The sequence below is a fragment of the Homo sapiens genome, chromosome 11, assembly GCF_000001405.40.
Source record: "Homo sapiens chromosome 11, GRCh38.p14 Primary Assembly".
NCBI classification, from domain to species: domain Eukaryota; kingdom Metazoa; phylum Chordata; class Mammalia; order Primates; family Hominidae; genus Homo; species Homo sapiens.
In genome coordinates this window covers 8,321,716-8,338,151 of record NC_000011.10, presented here as the reverse complement: position 1 = coordinate 8,338,151, position 16,436 = coordinate 8,321,716, and the positions used below count along the sequence as shown (strand labels likewise).

Here is a 16,436-nt window from a genome sequence, read left to right as displayed (position 1 = left end):
TTGTTAATCACCCCTGTATACTGAGCACTATTCTAAGTACTGGTGCCACTATAGTGAACAAAAGGGGCAGAAGCCCCTGCTGACATGGAGATTTTAGTGAAGGGAGACAGACAACCAACACAAGCAAGGAAAAGAAACAGTATGTCAATTACGATGAGTGAGGTGCAGAAAGATAAAGTGTGTGGCGGTGGGGGCAGCACGGAATACGGGGGATGGGTTGCAATTTTAAATGGGGTGGCTCAAGAAAGTTTCCCTGAGAAGCTGCATTTGGGTGGAGACTGGAAGGTGAGGGCATGAGCCTTGGGGATGTCTGGGGGAAGAGCTTTCTATGTGTGGGAAGACAAATGCGAAGTCCCTGAAATGGAAATGTATGTGGCATACTCAGCCAAGGGTCAGGGCTGGAGTGGGGTGAACAAAGTGAGGACTGGGGGCGGGGGAGCGGTAGACGAGAAACGGTGGGAGGCACAGGAAGTGAGAGAGCAGGCTGAGGGCAGGGCCCCCCCCCCGCCCCCCGCCGTCGTCAAGCTCCCTCTGCCTGGCCCACGCTGCAGGCTGCCTCGTGGCTCCGTGGCTCCGCGGTCCCAAAGCCTCCCTGTAGGCCTGCAGTGGCCTCCTGGCTCCTCCACAGAAAGTGCTGGCTCTCAGGCAGGGTTGCTGAGTTCAGTGGGAAGTGGGTGGTGAGGAGGGCGCAGAAGCCCCCTAGGCCGGCCCTGTTGGCTGCCACCAGCATCCTTCCTCAGCCCCACAGGGAAGGAAGGAGTGGGATTTGTCTGCCCACATTCACAGCCATGGAGGTGATCCAGGTTGAAAGAAAATCAATAAGATGTGTCCATTTATGTGGCACAAAGGAAGAAAGGTCTGCAGACAGAAATAGGCCGGGAATCACACGCAGGCGACTTAATAAGACTTTTCCCCAGTCTGAAGAGGACGGTAATTTAGATTTGCCTTTGAACATCTCCTTTCTTGTGCCTCAATAACTCTCAGGATCAGCCTGCTTAGGAAGCAAGGGAAAGGAGATTGGCCGCCTTCTTAGAAGACAAGCCCGTTTGGGAAGGCCGCTTGCTCAGAGAAGTTCAAACACCAGCCTTGAGAAAAGATGAAAGTGCCTCGTCAGCACATCCTCGGCCCATTGATCACGATTGAGGCCTGGGCCTGGTGCATTTGGGCTGGAGCAGGACAATGAGAACAAGGCCAGGCTGCCAGGAGGCCTCCTCTGAGCCACGGTGGTGCAGGAGATCCTCATTACCGGCCTCGGGGCTTAGTGGCCAGGTGTGGGCAAGAGGCAGCCTGGCCCTGCCTGCAGAGCACTGGCCTTGCAGCCCGCGGGCCCCACAGCCACCGCCCAGCCTTAGCCCAGGAGGCAGACTGGCTCCCACCTCAGGTTGTGGCAGGCAGAACTCAGGCTGCCATCCTGCCCAAGCACAGATCCAATTTATCCGCTTACACCTGGAATTTCTGCCAAAGAAGTCTGGAGTGCCTGCAGAAAAAGGGGAAGGGCTAGGTCTTGTTCTCCTGAGGCTCTGCAGAGAGGGTCATAGCACCATTTGGCAGGGCTGGGCCACCCACTTTGTGCTGCCTGCGTGCACTTTCCTTACCTCGGCTGTTCACCTGACAGGAAAAACTAGGCTCCTGGAGTTTTAGGAAGCTGGGTGAGTCAGAAAAAGGCCCCTGGGCAGATTTTCTGTCCCTCTCCAGAGACCCAGCTCAAGTATCAGCTTTTCCATCTCCCCGTGAATGGCAAATACCCTGTCCTCACTGCCCCCACGGTGTCCTCTGATTCCTCACTCAAGGCTTTATTAGTTGTGCTGCCATTGTCCCACCCACTGCAGGCTCCTCCGGGGTGGGAACTCTAACCCCCAGCCCACAGCCTGGTGCCTGGCACGGAACAGGTGCTGTCGTTGTCTCCATTGGCCCTCCTTCCTCAGCTGGCAGGGCAAGAGGCCCGGGCCAGGTGGGGCCCCTGTGTCCAGTGGGGCCCCAAGGTCATACGAGGGCAGGTGAGCAGCAGGACCAGCTCGGGATGCCAGCCTCAAGCACCAGCCCAGGGCTCTTCCATCTCAGTGCCCTGGGGCCACCTCAGGCTCCAGCAGGACAGCAGGAAGGCCGGGAGCTAGAGTCGGGGGACTTCATCCCAGAGCCTGGTTTGCATTTGGCCATGAGCAAGTCCACTCTCCTCCCTCCCAGCATTCTCCTCTGTAGACCCAGCATGCTGGTCTCTGTGCTGTAGAGTACAATAGCCGCGTGTAGCCGTGGAGCAGCACCTGAAACTTGGCTCGTAGGAATTGAGCTGTGCTGTGAGTGTAAAATACACGCTAGATTTCTGTGACTCATCACCATAGAAGAATGTAAAATATCTCATTCATAATGTTTATGTTGATTACATGTTGAAATGATAATGTTTTGGGTTTTATAAACCCAGTAATAATATTGGGTTAAAGAAAATGTATTATTAAAATTAATCCTTTTTAAATGTGACTCCTGGAAACTTTAAAGTGACCTGTGTGGCTCACATTGTATTTCTATAGGACAATGCTGGCCTACGCAGTCTCAGAGCATGAAAGTTTGAGGCGTCTATGTTATGAGAGAGTGGACATGAAGGTGCTTTGAATAGATCCATCTTCACAGGGAGGACACTGGCTGTCAGGAGAGACCAGACTTGCCTCAAGAAGGGTTAATGCCCAAAGCAGGACCTTTTGGAGGTCGTCAGCCTTCACTAGTACCAGGAGCCAATGGCCATTGTCCTGCATGAGGTAATGCCTTCAAGGGGTCCCTCTCATTGGTGGCTGGGAGCGTCAGTGGTGAGTAGAGGTGGGAGCCCTCGGGAGTTTCCTTCTTCCCCTCTCTGAAGTTCATGTGCTGTCCGATCCTGTTAACAGAACAGGTAGCCAGGACCGCCTGGACTCCATAAAGGGCCTGGGGACCCCGCTAGCGATCAGGAGGGGCCCAGAGTTGCCTGAGCTGAGGGTCTGGGTCCCCCTCAGCCCGAGGCACTTCTGGCCTCTCTGCGATTTGCAGGCTGCGGTCTCCACCCCAAAGGCCCTTCATTCCTCCGCGCACCTGATGGCTTCCTCCTGAAGCTCTGAGACCCCACTTCCTGGCACCTCCTCAGGATCTGCCACAGCATGGATTTCTCTGTTCCCTCTGTCAGAGATCTACAGCCTGTGTACTGCGATGGCCCAGCACTCCTGCTTGTGTCTCCCACTTGGCTGGAAGCAGACCAAGAGCAGGGTATGTGCTGGGGTGCCCAACCCAGGGCCAGGCACAGAGCACACCTACACATTGAAGGAGTGTGTGACTGCATAGATGGAACCTGGTTCTGGATCAGCCTTGGAGGTGGGGAGAGGGGTTGGTGGGGTCTGGGTAGATGAGAGGGATGGATAGAGCTTGGAGGTGTTGCAGAAAAGCAGTGTGTATTGGGGGTAAGGGGCTACAGGGAAGACAGAGGGTACAGGGAACTTCCATGGCCCCTGTCCTGGCAGTCAGTCTCTAAGGTATGAGGTCCTCCCTGCCGTGCTGACACCAGAAACGGTTTGGGGCAGCCTGGCCATGGGATGCAGGAGGGAGCTTTGTGCCTACTGATGGGCACTGCCGCCTGGCTTCCTGGCAGCCCAAGCGGGAGCCAACAGAGCAAGTTGGGGAGCTGGCCCAGGAGCCAAGGGGGCCCTGGGAGCCCTGCAGGTACCTAAGCAGCTTCAGAAAGGAAGGTGCCAGAGCAACTGGGAGGGAGGAGCGTGTCTGGAGATGAGTGGCTCCTCCCAGCCTTGGAAGCCGGGGGCATCTGGAACAGTGGGGTCCCTCAAGAGAGGAAAATGCCAAGATGACACCGGTGAGGGAGGGCTAGAGAGGCCTCCTAGGGTGGGAAGGATGAGTTAAGGGGTGGCGTGGGGCTGGGGTGAAATCATCCAGCAAAGGGACAGGTCAGGCATGGGGGTGAGTGGTGACTCATCAGGAGGGAAGTGTCAGAAGCCCAGCCCTCTGGCAGTTCCCTCATGCTGCTGTAACATGGCAGGGGTGTTGGTCAGGCAGCTGGCTCCACACTCTGCCACTCACCTGTCCTGGGATACATGCCAGTGTCTCCATCTCCTATAAGCACTGCCAGTAGAGAACACCACTGCCGCCTTCAGGCAGACTGACCGGCAACCCATCCTGCCATGCAGGCCCACCCCAGGTGCAGAGACCTGGTTTCAACTGCAGCTTAGTCACTGATGGGCAGGGTACCACGGCCCTCTCTAAGCCTTGAATTCCTCATCTGCACAATCCTTTTGGGGCAGTGGCCACTTCCTGCCCACCCTGGCGGGGCAGGCTGCAGGCCAGCCTTTGCCCCTTTATGGAGAGGGAGCTCCACATCTCAGCCAGCAGGGCAGATCCCCAGAGCTCCTGGGGTGGGCAGATGAAAGGAGCTCGCCCCCTCCTCCTTCCCCCAGCCTCCGGGCCAGTCACTTCACCTCTCCTCCTCTCTTCTGCAGAACTGTAAGAATTATTATTTTTTAAATCCTCATTGGAATGCTAATTTTGATTCTGAGTGTCTGTCATGGGCTCTTTGAAGTTTTTCAGACAAAATAAGTATCTCCTTAACAGAGGGGATTAGCGCCTACTTGTTTAGAATCCTCTGACTGAGAGTGACAACCAATTTCGGAATCTGTGGGGTTTAGGGAGGCTGCAGGAAGAGGGGCTGCCTCCCTCCCTGGTGGTCAGCTTTCCATAAATGGCTTAATGGGGTTAGAGTTTAACCCCTCAAATAGGGATCAGAGCCCCCAGCTTGAAAGCCAATGAGCAGCGAGGCAGATCTTGCTATTTAAATCCAGCAGGACTTGGTTAGAACTCTTTTATTCTCTTGAGCTTAAAGAAAACAAACCCATTTCCCTTGCAGAATTTAGGGCCCACACCAGCCAGCTGCCCCCAGCCTCCTCCCCAAAACGCAGGCCTTTGCTCCACAGGTAATTCATCGCCCAGACTCAGCCCAGGCTGAGATGCTCCTGGCTTTATGATTCAGTTCAATTCAGGAGTGCTAATGGGGCAATTTGTAAAGAAAGAAATATAATGAGTTATCACAAAGCCCAGCAAGGACTCGACAAACCAGGCACTTCCCATCCATCAAGCATCCTAGCGTGGTCGGAGACCAGCAGCGCCAGAAATCTTGTGAGGCCCCTGGGAACGCGCTTTTCTGGGCCTGGACATGCACACATACGGCAGCCACTGCAGGTGCTTCCTTCTCCCTTTGCCCTCCCTGCATTCCCCGCCGCCCGCACCCCACCAAATCATGGCCCCTAAGGGCCAGATGACCTGGGCCGATGGTGTGGGTGGGGTACGATAGAGGTAAAAGGAGGGATACTTAAGAATTTCTTTGCTGAAGCAAAATTATCATGCAGGCCATTTTTAAAAAGAGCATTAATACCATGTGAGGGCCCACAGAGTCCCAGATGTGGCAAGTAGGCTGCAACATTTCCCCAGGACTCTCGTTGCCAGCAGGGTTCCCATGGCAGGGTTGCTGAAGCTGGGGCTTGGCCTGACATGAAGCCTAAGGTCATGGAGATGATACTGGGCAGCCACATCCATCCAGTATGTCCCATGAAGTCAAACTTCACCCAGCCTGGGCCTGTGGGATACCCTCTGCAGAGAGCAGGTGCCATGCTGTGTCCACTCTGCTGAGACAGCAGGCCGCTCACTTGAGTTGGAGACCCATAGGCAGGCAGGCCCCTCCTGCGCTTCTTTCAGATGTGCACAGTGGGGTCCAGAATGGGGAAGTGAATTGCCAGAGGACTCGCATTAAGGAAGTGGCAGCTTGTCACAGTGTGTACATGATAGTCTAGGACAGTGTGGCTGGGGCTGGGTGGCTAGCAAGGGGGAGTAGGAAGGGTGAGGCCAAGAGGGCAAGTCCACAGGCCCAAATGCCAGGCACCTGGGTCCGGGACTGGCCCAACTTGCTCAGCCTCCATGCTGGGGTCCCTAGACTGGCCCCCACCCTTCCTTTTCCAGCCACCACTGCCCTGTTCTAGCTCAGATCTGGAGGATGGAGATTTTGGTCAGTCTGGTAATGATTCATTTGTGTCCCTGAATTGGAACAATCCAATGGCCTCTCCGGGCCTCCATTTGTACACTTGCTTATGGGGGAGGTGACTCACCGGCCTCTCCCTGTCAGAGGCACCACTGCAGCTGAGCCCCTGCAGAGAACCTAAGCGGGTGGTGGGAAGGACTGTAGGAGGGTGAGCAGTGGCAAAGCCCTCAGTCTGGTAAGGAGGGCTGGCCCACAGAGAGGTCTCTCTGGGCTGAGGCATCCCTGTGCTCTCTCCCTGTGCCCTCCAGCCTCTGCTGCCCCCCCCCCCAAGCTGGCCTGGACCCTGGGGATCTGCCCCACCAGGTACCTCAGAAGGCCCCTGGCCAGAGCTGCATCATGGGAAGGCCCCATGGCCAGCAGATGGGACAGAGAGAGGTCTGGCTTTAGTAGGGACTGCTTGATCCCAAACACAGAGTGATGTGGTCCAGAATGGTCCTCAGCATGTTCTAGGTGGTCCTGTCCCACCCACTCAGGTCCTGCCTCCTTTTCTCCTGTTTTTGTAGGCAATCTGGAGATATCTCAAGCCCAGGGAAATCAATCTGCAACCTCAGAACAGGCAGGTCCCACAGAGGACAGTCACCCCCTCAGAAGGATAGCAAGTAATGACAACAAGCACAGCTAGTACTTCCTGTGTGTCAAATGTGGTTCTGAATGCTGTACACTGATGAACTCATGAATCCTCCTACCAGAACCATGATGAGATACTCTTGTTATTATTCCCATTTTGCAGATTAGAAAATTGAGGCATGGAGAGGCTGAATAACTTGGTTAAGGTCACCCAGATAGTGAATGGCAGAGTAAGAGTTCAAACCCAGCCAGCCTGGCTCCAGAGCGTTCTGGTGGTCCAGCAGATGTCCTAGACCTATATCTAGTGGCTACTAGTGCCCAGCATCCAACCTTGGTACCAGCTCCCACTCCCAATAAGGTCAGGCTGAGGTGCAGATTCCTAGACAGAGGGATTCTCCTGATAGGGGCCAGTCCTGGAGAACCTGTTGGGTCTTGAGGCCATACGCTGAAGTGTCCCATGCTCTGTGAGAGATGGGGGAATGGAGGACAGAGAGAGGGCAGTGGACACAGGGCATTGACTCAGGTTTGGGGAAGACTCCAAAGAGCATGGGGCTGACCCAGTAAACACCTGCCGTGTGCCAAGCACTGTGCCTGGCACTTCGCCCACGGTATTTCACGGAAGTCTCCCAGTAGCCCTGCAGGGTAGGAATTACTGTCTTCATTGAACTGAACTATGATGGAGACTGAGAAAGGTTAAGTAACTTGCCCAAGGTCACCCCGCTAATAAGGAGCACAGCCAGATTTCAAGTCGGCTCTATCTGGTTTTACAGGGTCCATGATGCCATGGTGCCAGAGAGGGGCGGGTGGGGAGGAGGGACGGAGGAAGAGTGGGAAGGAAGGTGAGAACTTAGATCACATACCCGAGAGAGCACCGATGGTGGCCCTTCTCCAGCTCGGCAGAGCAGGGCACGCCAGGAAGTCACACTCGGAGCTGGAGGGCACTGGGTCAGTCTGGCTCACGGCCAGATGGGGATTCTTAAGAAAGAAAAAAAAAAAAAGAAAGAAAGAATGCAAACTTTAGCAGCTGCAGATGGGGATTCTTAAGAGAAGTAGAGACCCAACCTGTGGGAGGTGGGAGGGTGGAGGCAGGAGGCAGGGGGCTGCGGGGATTGACCTCCTCACTTCTGGGTTGCCACTCGAAGCTTGCTCCGGGCAACGACCCTGCTGCTTCCCAGAGGGAAACTGTAGCCCACAGACCAGGAGAGAAGCCAAAGCACCTGCTCCACGTCCACATCACCCCAGGCTTCTAGCCCCCAGGGGCTTCATCAGTGCTTCAGTGCTCTCTCCCATCCCCCACTCCCCATGTCCCTCGTGATCCGAACTCCTAGGGCTCCGTGTCCCACAGGTCACCACTTCCTGCGTCTCGGGTTCCCACGTCCTATGGCCCGTCCTGGGAGCGGAAGGGTTACGGCTTCTGCTACTGAGTGGAGGCTGCTGTTCCCCAGCGTTAAGCAGCTTTAGTGTCTCCTACCCCAGCCCTGATTTAAAATTCATAAATGCTAATCCTTCATAATTTACGGTTTAAAAGCAGCCCCACTCACAGGCCCCGTGGCTACAGCTCTGTCAGAGTAATTATGCCGCCAAGCTGAAATTGGACTACTAACTGAGATATTAAACTGGGGGGGGGGGAAATCCTCGCGCTGGCAGCCGACCCAATTATTCCAAATAAGCAAACAGATTAGTGAGTAATTTTCCAGTTAAATTTGGTGATTGGTGCCAGAATTGTATGTTAAATATTCAGAAGTAAATAGATTAAAGATGAAATGTGCCCCCCTCCCTTTTTCCAGGCTTAATTTACTGTGTGTATTAAAATTTTTTCATGAGGAGAAAAAAAGTGAAAAATGATAATTAAAAAAAATCCAAATAAACCCCTCTGGGCCTCCTGGTGTAGCATGGCAGAGGCCAGGCCCTCCAGCCTCCTTGACTTCCTAGCGCTCCAGGGCAGGGCCAGCTACCTCCCCTGGACCCAAACTCCAACCCTCCCCAGGGGAGAGGCAAAGAGGATGTAAGATTCTGGGAACCTGGATGGGCTGGGGACCTCCCGGCCCCTGTGCGCTGGGGTTGTATTTCTTTACAAAGAGAAATCCCAAATCTATTAGCCCTAAAGTCAGACAGAGCTGAGAAAATGCAGGCAGGGGTGGAGGGAAGAGAGGCAGTTCTCGAGTGGGCACTCGAGGCCCCCGGGGTGCTGGGCTCCTCCTGGCACAGAGTGCTGCCTGGTTCTCAGTGACCAAGTGCCCAGGGCTAGGACCCAGGCCACCGGACACCAGCATGCCGTCCTGGCCTGGCTGTAGCCGCTGGTCTGCCGTCCTGGGGTGGGGGTGCTGAACAGTGGCTGTCCCCAGCACACTTGCCTGGCCAGGCTTTGCCACTGCTCACCCTCCTACAGTCCTTCCCACCTCCCGCTTAGGTTCTCTGCAGCGGCTCAGCTGCAGCAGTGCCTCTGACAGGGAGAGGCCGGTGAGTCACCTCCCCCACAAGCAAGTGTAAAAACGGAGGCCCGGAGAGGCCATTGGATTGTCCCAATTCAGGGACACAAATGAATCATCGGCTGCTCAGCCTGTGCTCTCTCTGCCGCCCCCTAGAGGACCTGGGCTTCTGGCACAGGCTCACCCTGGGCAGGTGGGCAGAGCCACACAGGAACAGGGGCAGAACAGGGAAGGAAGACTTGTGCCAGGCCAGGAGTGAGCAGAGAGGATGGGGAGGGGGTGGGGGGCACACCTAGGCCCAGCCTAGGAAGAAGATATGGGGAAAAGGGACTGCGGGTGGTGAGGGGCAGGTGAGGCCGATAGGCTCTAGGAAGGGCCTGGCACCAACCTTGGACACAGCCTCCTCCAGGGCAGCCCCTCATCCTCCCTTTGTCTCAGGGATCCCCTTCTTGTCAGTTCCAAATCACAAAGCACTGAGAATGTGGATGGAAGGGGAGATGAGAAATACGAGGAGTGGCGTCACCCTCTCCAGGGACCCCACTTCCCTGTCTTTCAGAGGCATCTCTGTGGCCCCAGCCATGCTGAGAGGACTCCCTGTCCTCTTGGGGTTGCAGAGAGCTCTCTTCTTCTCCTTTAGCCTCTGAGTGGCATGCCTGAGGGACAGGGGACGGTTCCAACCACCCCTTCCCAGCCTGGACATGCTGCACCTGTAATCCTAGGAAAGCCTCGCCCGGGCCACCAGGACAGCACCTCATGTAAACCCAAGACATGCAGGCAGGCCTCTGAGCCCACAGATCAGTCACAGGAAGATAGTGTGGGCAGACAGAAAGGGCATGTTTGTCCTGTCCTTGGTACCTGTCCAGCTCAGCCTTCTCTGAACCACTAGGCTACTGGTTCTCAAACAGGGCATATGAGAACCGCCTGAGACTCTTTCACAAAATGCATACAACCCCTACCCCCTCACACACATGTGGAATCCCCTATGGGTTATTAACCAGCTTACACAATGCAGTGAGGATTGCCACTCCTAGACTAATGACTTGCAGGTTTTAAAAAGTGGCCAAACCCTTTTTCAAAACAAATCTTTTGTATAAGCCCATTATGCAAAGCAGATAACAGCTTGGGGTAAGTGTCTTTATTTGCCACTCCCCTTCCCTTTCCCCACATTCTGAGTCATCTCAGGGGTTGGGGGAACCCCTAGAATTCTGCCAGAGAGCAGCTGCCCAGCACTAGGAAGCCAAGCCTCTAGTTTGTGGTCCCTGGATTGGTTCCTCCCAAGTAGCCTCCTTTATCAGTGGCTCCAGTGAGCCGAATGTGCTGTCGTGTCCTGGGTTGGCAAGGGATTGGAGGCAGAGCCAAGCCCATCCAAGTGCCGCTGAGGACAGCTGCTAAGGCCAGGAGGGCTGGTCCAGCTGGTGGTCAGCTATGGCCCCACTCTCTTTCTCAGAAAGTTTACAACCAACTTCTCTGAGAGTTCCCAAAAAGAGTGGCCAGTTAGGATTAGAGAGTGAATGGGCCTTAGCCTGAGATCCGTACCCTTCTAGTCATCCTTTCTGCAAGTAGAAGCCTTCCCTGGCTTCTTTCCTTTGGGACCAAAGCAACAAAGTCCTTCTCAGGCCTTCGGGAAGATGGGAAGGGGAAGAGGGGCCTGGGTCCTTGTCTTTACATCTTGGGATCCGACCAGGGTCCAGGGGACCCAAGGTATGCAGACACCTCAGGTTTTATTTTTTCTTTCTCTAGGAAAAAAGTTCCCAAATAAAACAATATTACTGAAAACATTTACTGAGCACCTGCTGTGTGTGGCCAGCATGGGGGACACGGCACTCTGACTTACTCATTGTCCCTCCCATTTGCAGACGCCCCCAGGTGTACCTGGTAACTTTTTTGACTGAGAGAAAAAGTTCCCACTTCGTTCCACAAGTGCCTGGCTCAGCTGAGTCCTGGCCTGTCCCCACCTGTCGTAGTGAACAGAGCCACATAGAAACAGGCCCTCCATTTCTGCCTCCTCACTGATCTGTTCTGGATTCACTATGAACACCATTTGACTTGGAAAACTACAGGTTATCCCTTCACTAACCTCCAGTAGTTGTTGTTGCTGGTTTTAAACTGCTTTCTATTTAAGACTTTCCAAAAGGACCAAACTTTGTTTCCCGTGAGGATTTAAACATCAGATAACAACCAAATGCATCAGAACACAGCTGGTGAACAGAGGTAGCAAGTGGCTACTGGACCAGGTGCTGTGACTCTGGAGCCGCGACTGGATTTCTTTCCGCAGAAGCCCCAGCCTTTTACTATACAATTACGGTGGGGACCAAGACCCCCATGGATGGCTGAAGAAAGCCTGTGCCATCACAGGGCAGGCTCTCTGTGCTGAGCTCCTTGCTAGACCTCTAGGGGACAATTCCCCTATGATGGGAAATTCTTGCCATAGAGAATCCACTCTGTCAGAACACAAACAGGGACACACAAATGCACATGCACTTCGTGCATGCTCATGTATGTACGTAAACAGATCCATACAGGGACACCCACAAAAGCAAACACACACAGGCACATACACATGCACACACACACACACACACGCACACACCCACACAAAATCCCCTAGACCTTTCCAAACACTTGGGCTATGGGAATGGGGCAGTGGCATGCTACTAAATCAGTTCTCCAGGTGGGGAAAAGGTCCTGGTTTACAGTGTTTGCCAATTTCCTTGATGTAAATGCCCCCACAGTGGCAGATTTTAAACAACTAATAGTTTAATAACTGACTCAAAAAATTCCTGAATATTTTCCAATTGTCTCTTATTGACTCCAACAAACTGCTGTCTTCAGGACCCCGTCCCAGGTCCGATTGCTGTAGGAGGGACCTGGTTGAGGTGGTCTGAGCAGATGGGAAAGCAAGGCGGGGTGTTGGCCTGGAGCAGGCCAAACCTGGTTGTCAGGGAGGAGGGTCGTTGAGTGCCGGGTTGCATAAGGATTCCACAAGCCCTGGGAGGCTTCAAGGGGCCTGCTTAGACTCTGAAGGGAGGAGCTACAGTCAGGTGGATGGTGTTGCTGGGCTGATGAATGACATTATCACAGCCACCCCAGGAGGATGTAGGCTCCCTATCACTGGAGGTTGGAAGCGGGGCCAGAGGACCACTCAGCTGGGATCCCAGGGAATAGTTCACAACTGCCTTCTCTTCCCCTCTCCCAGGAGCCTGCATGCAGGTCTTTTGCCCCTGAATCATACCACAGAGTAAGGAAGGGCGTGGGTTGTTCTTGGCCAACCTTCTGGAATTAGGAAACCCAGTTCCCACTGGTAAAGCCGGGCTGCCTGGCCTGCCCTCATGTGACACCAGGGACCACTTGCTGCTTGCAATGGGCTTAGCTGAGAGCCAGGCCCCCCCCTCTGTTTTCTGGCTTCTGTGCATGCCCTTTGTTGGCCTGGTGGGAGGGGCGTGGGCATCCTCTGGCTGCAGCAGCCTGGCTCTGGCTATTCTATGTCCTTACCAGGCCCATGTTCCCAAGAAGTGACCTTTCTAACATGATCCCGGGCCCCTGAACTTCCATTGCCTCGGAAGGCAAGTTCTCAGCTGAGAGGCTCACAAATAGATATATGTATGTGATGATGAGTACAGGAGTGTGGGCATGTGTGTGAAAGAAAAATAATTTTTAAAAATAGAAAAATAAGCCAGGCATGGTGGCTCACTCCTGTAATCCCAGAACTCTGGGAGGCCGAAGCAGGAGGATTGCTTGAACCCAAGAGTTTGAGACCAGCTTAAGCACAAAGTGAGACCTCTGTCTCTACAAAAAGAATACACAAATTAGCTGGGCATGATGGTGTGCACCTGTAATCCTAGCTACTCAGGAGGCTGAGGTAGGAAGACTGCTTGAGCCCAGGAGTTTGAGACTGTGGTGAGCAAAGATTGTGCCACTGCACTGTAGCCCGGGTGAGACTCTGTTTCAAAAAAAAAAAAAAAAAAAAAAACGAAAAGAAAAAAAGAAAAAAAAACAACTGTCATCTTACTGAGCACTTATTTTAACAAACAAGGCAGAATAGTACAATGATTATGAACGAAGATCTTGAAGCCAGACTACCTGGGTAGCCTGCTTCTTCCGTTTACCAGCTATATGATTTGGGGCAAGTTCTTCTTGGCTCAGAGCCTCAACTTCTCCATCTGTAAAATGGACATAAGAGTAGGACCTGTCTTATAGTGATGGGAACTAAACACACTGATATGGAAGGAAAGCACTGAGAATAGTACCTAGCACAAAGTAAGCACAATAAAAAGTGTTAGTTGCTTTTATTATTATCATTATCCAATAGCTCTGCACTACAAATTTGGAGATTTATTTAATTTAATCCTCACGATGGTACCATGAAGTTGGTGCTATTACTGTCCCCCTTTTGTAGACAAGGAGTCAGAAGTTCAGAGGTTAAATAACTTGCCCAATGTCCCACAGGGGTAAGTGGCATAGCCAAACCTCCAACTCTTAATTCCTGGAGTCACCTCACTGAAGGTCCTAACAGCAACCTAAGCCACAGGTAGGACACAATTAGTCTTTTTCAATGGGCAAATCCATAAAAACAGAGCCCACAGAGATCCATCCACCCCTGAAATCTGCAATAAATAGCAATGATAGAGCTTTCTCTTGTTTACTCCATCATGGCCACGGCAAAGGAGAAGCCAGAACAAACGGTGGGACAGCCACGAAAGGGCCTGCCTTGTTTTGCACCCCACGTGCCTCATCTGTCATCCTGCACAGATAAAAAGGCCCTTTGCCACCTAGTACCCAGGCATGAGGATATTTGGGATGGGAACCTGTCTCTGCCGGCAGGGACTCCATGTGGTTAAGACTGGGACATACATAGCTGTCTCTGATCTTATTTCAAGATGTTTTTTCCTTTAGCCATTGGTCAAAAGTTAATCCTTGACCCCATTCTAGATGGGGGCACCTCCATCTGTGTGATGTTGCTGATTGGGTGGTGGTATTTGTCACGGGCATCCATACGGGTGATCTCCAAACTGTCTTGCTTATTGTGCATGTGATTGCTAAAGTCTTCGGGGCACATGCACCCTGCATTAGAGAACACTGATCCAGTCAGGAACCATTACATAATTTTCTGAGACTGGTGCAAAATGAAAATGTGGCCCCAGGCCCAGATTTGGGAAGTCAGCCTCCCCTTTTCAGAGGCCCGTCACCACAACCCACAGCTGGTATGTGACCCCCAGGGATTACGACCTCCATGTCAGAGCTTGCTCAGTACCTGATTCTGGGATGAGGGAGAGGCCCCCATGGAGCTGACTGTGGAACACACCTTAGTTTCTCAGACCAGGGTGGATGGCTGCCACCTTGCCCCACCCTAGAAGCTGTGGGCACACACCTGGTCTTCCCTGCTTCTTTGCACGGAACACTGCCAGGGTGGAAGGTGACCGTGGAATGGGAGCCTTTCCTTGCCACTCTGACGGACCCTGCCTGGTGTGGAGGGCGGTGGCAGGCACAGCCCTAGGACAAGGAGGCTGAGGAGGCTGGGGCACTAGGTGGGAGGAATTAAGCCACTGAGAAGTCCTCCCTTCCAGGGAGGTAGTGGGAAGTAGGACTGTGCTCCAAGCCCGGGCACAGCCTCCATGTCCCATCAGGCTTCGCCACAAAACACACATTCAAAGATAAGATGATAAGAATTTCAAGCTGGCAACTGCAGGGCATGAAACTCTAAGCACGGGGCCCTTCTAGGAATGGGCCGCCACATCCAGGGCACAGCTCTCTGTTCAACAACCAAGTCCCACAGACCTGCACTCAAATGCCTCCCCTTTTCCAGGCCCCCTGAATCGTCGTTCCCCTGACCAGCTAGACGAGTCCCCCTCACTTACAGAATGAAGTCCTCACTCACTGCCCTCTGTGATGAGAGCTGGTTTCCTCCCCAGTCTCATCTGCCCCCTCCCACCCCACCCCTGTGCCCAGCCATGCCAAGAGATCTCATTGCCCTATGCCGCTCCTTTCTGCCTCTCCTCCTTTGCCTGTGCTGTCATCTGCTGAATGTCCTTCCCCACTGGCACCTGGAATGCTCCTAGTCGACCCCAAGAGTTTGTCTACTTTGCCACTAGCCTGGTGGAGTCTTTCCTGACCTCCAGGAAGAGGTGAAGATGGTTCCTTTTCTTTTGTCTCATTGCGCCTTATGCATGAACCTATTATAACACCTACTACATTTGTCCACCTATTTATTCAATATAGATTTGTGGAGCTTCTATTGTATTCGGTGTCAGCCTGGCTGACACTCTCTATTAGTCTGACTCTCTCTTGAGGGATAACCAGCCCCAGCGGTCATTGTCTGAGTTCTAGTCATCTTCATATCTTCAGAGCCTGGAGGCAAGTAATAAATATCTGTTGAATTAAAGAATGAATGAATGAATGAATATCTACTAGGGCCACCTCCAAGTCCCATATCTACTAGTATTTAGAGCCAACACATTGAACCAGTGTCTGGTTGCAAAGCCTTGCAGGCATGAAATAGGGGCCTTATTGGGGTGGGGTGGGCATTGAGGAGTAGGGTGATTGGGACAAGGCCGCAGAGGCCAGGGAGGCAACAGAAGAAAAGATGGGCAGATGCCAGAGCAGGCAGGGTCTGGAATGCCCAGGTAAGGATTTTGCACCTGACTCTGGAGGCAATGGGGGCCACTGAAGTTTTCACTGAAGGACCTTTGGCTCCTGTCGTAGGATGGGTTAAGGCAGCAGTCCCCAACATTTTGCCACCAGGGACTGGTTTCATGGAAGACCGTTTTTCCACAGATCGGGTAGGGAGTGGTGTAGGGTGGATGGTTTGGGTATGAAACTGTTTCACCTCAGATCATCAGGCATTAGATTCTCATAAGAAGTGCTCAAACGAGATCCCTCGCATGCCCATTTCACAATAGGATTCACGCTCCTATGAGACTCTAAGCTGCTGCTGATCTGACGGAGGTGGAGCTCAGGTGGTCATGCTTGCTTGCCTGTCACTCACCTCCTGCTGTGCAACCCGGTTCCTAACAAGCCGTTGACCAGTACCGGTCCGCAGCCTGGGGGTTGGGGACCTTTGGATTAGGGGATGGGGAGACAGTTCATTCATGCAGATGCTGATACAGGCGGAAGGGTAGTTTGGGCTCAGTAAGGTTCACTGCCAGGGCATGAGAGCAGCAGGGTGGGAAGCTGCAGAGAATATTCTAGACCTGAAGGATCAGTTCTTTACCACCTGCCCCCTGTCGCATTCCCACTGACTGAGAATATGTCCTTCCAAAGCCACCAAGGACCAAAGGTCATCTCTCTCCATATCACTTCCCAAGTTCTTTGGCCTTGATAAATTATTAGAAAACATAATAACACTTAGGAACCAGAGATAATGGGATGTTTGGTCATGGCTTTGAGGA

At 53.1% G+C, this 16,436-nt stretch overlaps 1 protein-coding gene across 2 annotated transcripts in view, besides 3 other annotated features; it reads left to right on the top strand.

The window, feature by feature from the left end:
- The window catches only part of STK33 (serine/threonine kinase 33), a 259,405-nt gene extending 256,077 nt beyond the window's left edge, over positions 1 to 3,328 (top strand). The window contains exons 13-14 of one of the 2 annotated variants that reach the window (XR_007062494.1): positions 2,526 to 2,750; positions 3,016 to 3,328. Coding sequence is in view for 1 of the 2 variants with exons in the window: in XM_047427469.1 (XP_047283425.1) it covers positions 2,526 to 2,558 (33 nt within the window). In the remaining variant the exon portion in view is untranslated. Of the gene's footprint in view, positions 1 to 2,525; positions 2,751 to 3,015 lie in introns of those variants that run through there. The other variant, XM_047427469.1, reaches the window with a different exon arrangement.
- Positions 807 to 1,624: an enhancer, noted in NCBI's record as "H3K4me1 hESC enhancer chr11:8358075-8358892 (GRCh37/hg19 assembly coordinates)". NCBI's record gives its function as "activates a minimal SCP1, AML or CMV promoter by ChIP-STARR-seq in naive H9 embryonic stem cells {active_cell/tissue: H9 hESC(naive)}" and the evidence as "EXISTENCE:reporter gene assay evidence [ECO:0000049][PMID:30033119]".
- Positions 9,056 to 9,350: an enhancer, noted in NCBI's record as "tiled region #11418; HepG2 Activating DNase matched - State 12:CtcfO". NCBI's record gives its function as "activates a minimal TATA promoter and a strong SV40 promoter by Sharpr-MPRA in HepG2 cells {active_cell/tissue: HepG2}" and the evidence as "EXISTENCE:reporter gene assay evidence [ECO:0000049][PMID:27701403]".
- Positions 11,739 to 12,324: an enhancer, noted in NCBI's record as "H3K27ac-H3K4me1 hESC enhancer chr11:8347375-8347960 (GRCh37/hg19 assembly coordinates)". NCBI's record gives its function as "activates a minimal SCP1, AML or CMV promoter by ChIP-STARR-seq in primed H9 embryonic stem cells {active_cell/tissue: H9 hESC(primed)}" and the evidence as "EXISTENCE:reporter gene assay evidence [ECO:0000049][PMID:30033119]".